At 51.2% G+C, this 2,322-nt stretch overlaps 1 pseudogene; it reads left to right on the top strand.

Moving 5' to 3' along the window:
* Positions 1-617: 617 nt before the first annotated feature.
* On the top strand, positions 618-1,901 carry LOC124905318 (basic salivary proline-rich protein 1-like; annotated as a pseudogene).
* Positions 1,902-2,322: the final 421 nt, after the last annotated feature.

Genomic DNA, 2,322 nt, shown 5'->3' with positions numbered 1-2,322 from the left:
AGTGAGGTTATTTGGATTTTCTCTCTTCTTTTCTTGGTTAATCTTGCTAATGGTCTATCAATTTTATTTATCTTTTCAAATAACCAACTTATTGTTTTATTTATGTTTTGTATTTGTTGTTGTTGTTGTTGTGTCAATTTCATTTAGTTCTGCTCTGATCTTTGTTATTTCCTGTGTTTGCTGGGATTGGGTTTGGCTTGTTCCTGTTTCTCTAGTTCCCTGAGATGTGAACTTAGATTGTCTGTTTGTGCTTTTTCAGACTTTTTGATGTAGGTTTTTAGGACTACAAACTTTGCTCTTAGCAGTGCCTTTGCTGTATCCCAGAGGTCTTGATAGGTTGTGTCATCCAGTTCGAAGACATTTTTTACATTTCCATCTTGATTTCATTTTTCACCCAATGCTCATTCTGTGAGGAACAACCAAATTGTTTTCCGCAGCAAGGGCATCATTTTCTATTCCTAGCAGCCAGATCATGAGGGCTCCAACTTCTCCACCTCCTTAGCAACATTTATTTTCTGTGTCATTGTTATGAAACCCTTACTTGTGGATGCAGAGTGGCATGAATGAAGTCAATTAACACGTTTATTACCTCACAGAATAGTCACCTTTTTGTGTGCATGGGTGGGATAAGAAAACTTAACTCCATCCCCTGTGACGGAATAGTGGCCATTCCAGCTGCTCCAGGCTCCAGCAGAGGAAGACCGGGGTATGTGGCCCCACCAGGGTGACCCTCAGGCCTGGCGTGCACGCATTCCAGAGGCCACCCAAACCATGCTCCGCCATCTGGGCGCCCAAGCTGCCGTCGCCCCCTGTGTGCAGGCAGCACCTGCCTGGCAACCCCTGAGCCCGCTCGCGCTCCTAGCATCACAGAAGCAGGGCCACGTGTCCCAGTGGCTGCAGCCAAGCCAGGCATTCTGCCCTGCGGCAGCAGCTGCACAGGAGCGAGAACTGAGAACCCACCGCTCAACCCCACACGAGGTGACTGCCGAGTGCCCATATAAACGGCTCCGATCTCCCTCAGGTGGAGGAGTGGTCAGGAGGCACGGCCTGGGGGCCCTCAGTCTTGGCGCGCTGGCGATCCCAAGGCCGACCAGGCCATGCACCTCCAGCCTGCCTGGGCACCCGAGCTGCAGCCGCCTTCTGCGTGCAGGCAGCAGCCTCCAGGCAACTCCCGAGCCCGCCCACACTCCCCACATCTTGGAAGCAGGGCCAAATGTCCCTGTGGCTGTTGCCAAGCCAGGCGGTCTGTACTGCAGCAGCTGCACAGGGGTGGGAACCGGCCCTCAGCCCCATCCCCGGTGGCTGCAGAGGGCCCCTGGATAGAGATCTGGAGCTCTGACAGGGGAGGAGCCGGGCCGGGGCAGGGTCTGGCAGGCTCTCAGGCCAGGGGCACCCGCGATCCAGAGGCCGCCCAGGGCATGCTCCACCACCTGGGCGCCCAGCTACAGGCGCCGGGCGACTCCCAAGCTGGCTGGCGCGCCCAGCCTCGCAGAACCGGGGCTAGATGTCACCATGACTGCGACCAAGCCAGGCGGTCTGCACAGGGGCGGCTGCACCAGGGCAGGAACCGACCCTCAGCCCCATCCCCTGTGGCTGCAGATGGCCCCTGGGGCGGCCCCGATCTCTCTTCGGAGGAGGAGAGGGGCGGGAGTCACGGCCAGACGGACCCTCAGGCGGGAAGGAGTGCTGGCCTGCGATTCCGGGACGTCCCGTGCCAGCCCAGGAGAACCCGCAAGCCAGCGGCGCCTGTTTCTCTGTGTGATTCTTTGAGGAACCACCAAACTGTTTTCCACAGCAAGTGCATCATTTTCTATTCCTAGCAGCCAGTTCATGAGGGCTCCAGTTTCTCCACCTCCTTAGCAACATTGATTTTCTGTGTCGTTGTTATGAAAGCCTTACTAGTGGATGCAAAGTGGCATCTCATTTGGGTTTTGCCTTGCATTTTATTAATGAATAATGGTGTTTAGCATCTTTTCTTTTCCTTCTTAGACATTTGTGTATCTTCTTTGGAGAAATGTCTATTCAAGTACTTTGCCTATTTTTTAATTGGGATCTTAGAAATTCTGTTGTTGAGTTGTGGAACATTAAGCTTTTATCAGATACACATTTTGATTTTATCAGATACATATTTTCTCACATATTATGGGTTGTCTTTTCACTCCCTTGATAGTACCCTTTGATACATAAAGGGTTTTTTATTTTGATTAAATCTAATTTTCGTGTATTTTCTTTTGTTATCTGTGCTTTTCTGTCATATTTCAAAATACGCTTAAAACTCAAAGGTCATAAAGGTTTACCATGTGTTTTCTTCTAAGAGTTACA

The sequence above is a fragment of the Homo sapiens genome (assembly GCF_000001405.40).
Source record: "Homo sapiens chromosome 1 unlocalized genomic scaffold, GRCh38.p14 Primary Assembly HSCHR1_CTG1_UNLOCALIZED".
In the NCBI taxonomy this organism is placed as follows: Eukaryota; Metazoa; Chordata; class Mammalia; order Primates; family Hominidae; genus Homo; species Homo sapiens.
Note: the sequence above shows the minus strand (reverse complement) of the source record. Positions and strands in the feature narration are given on the sequence as shown.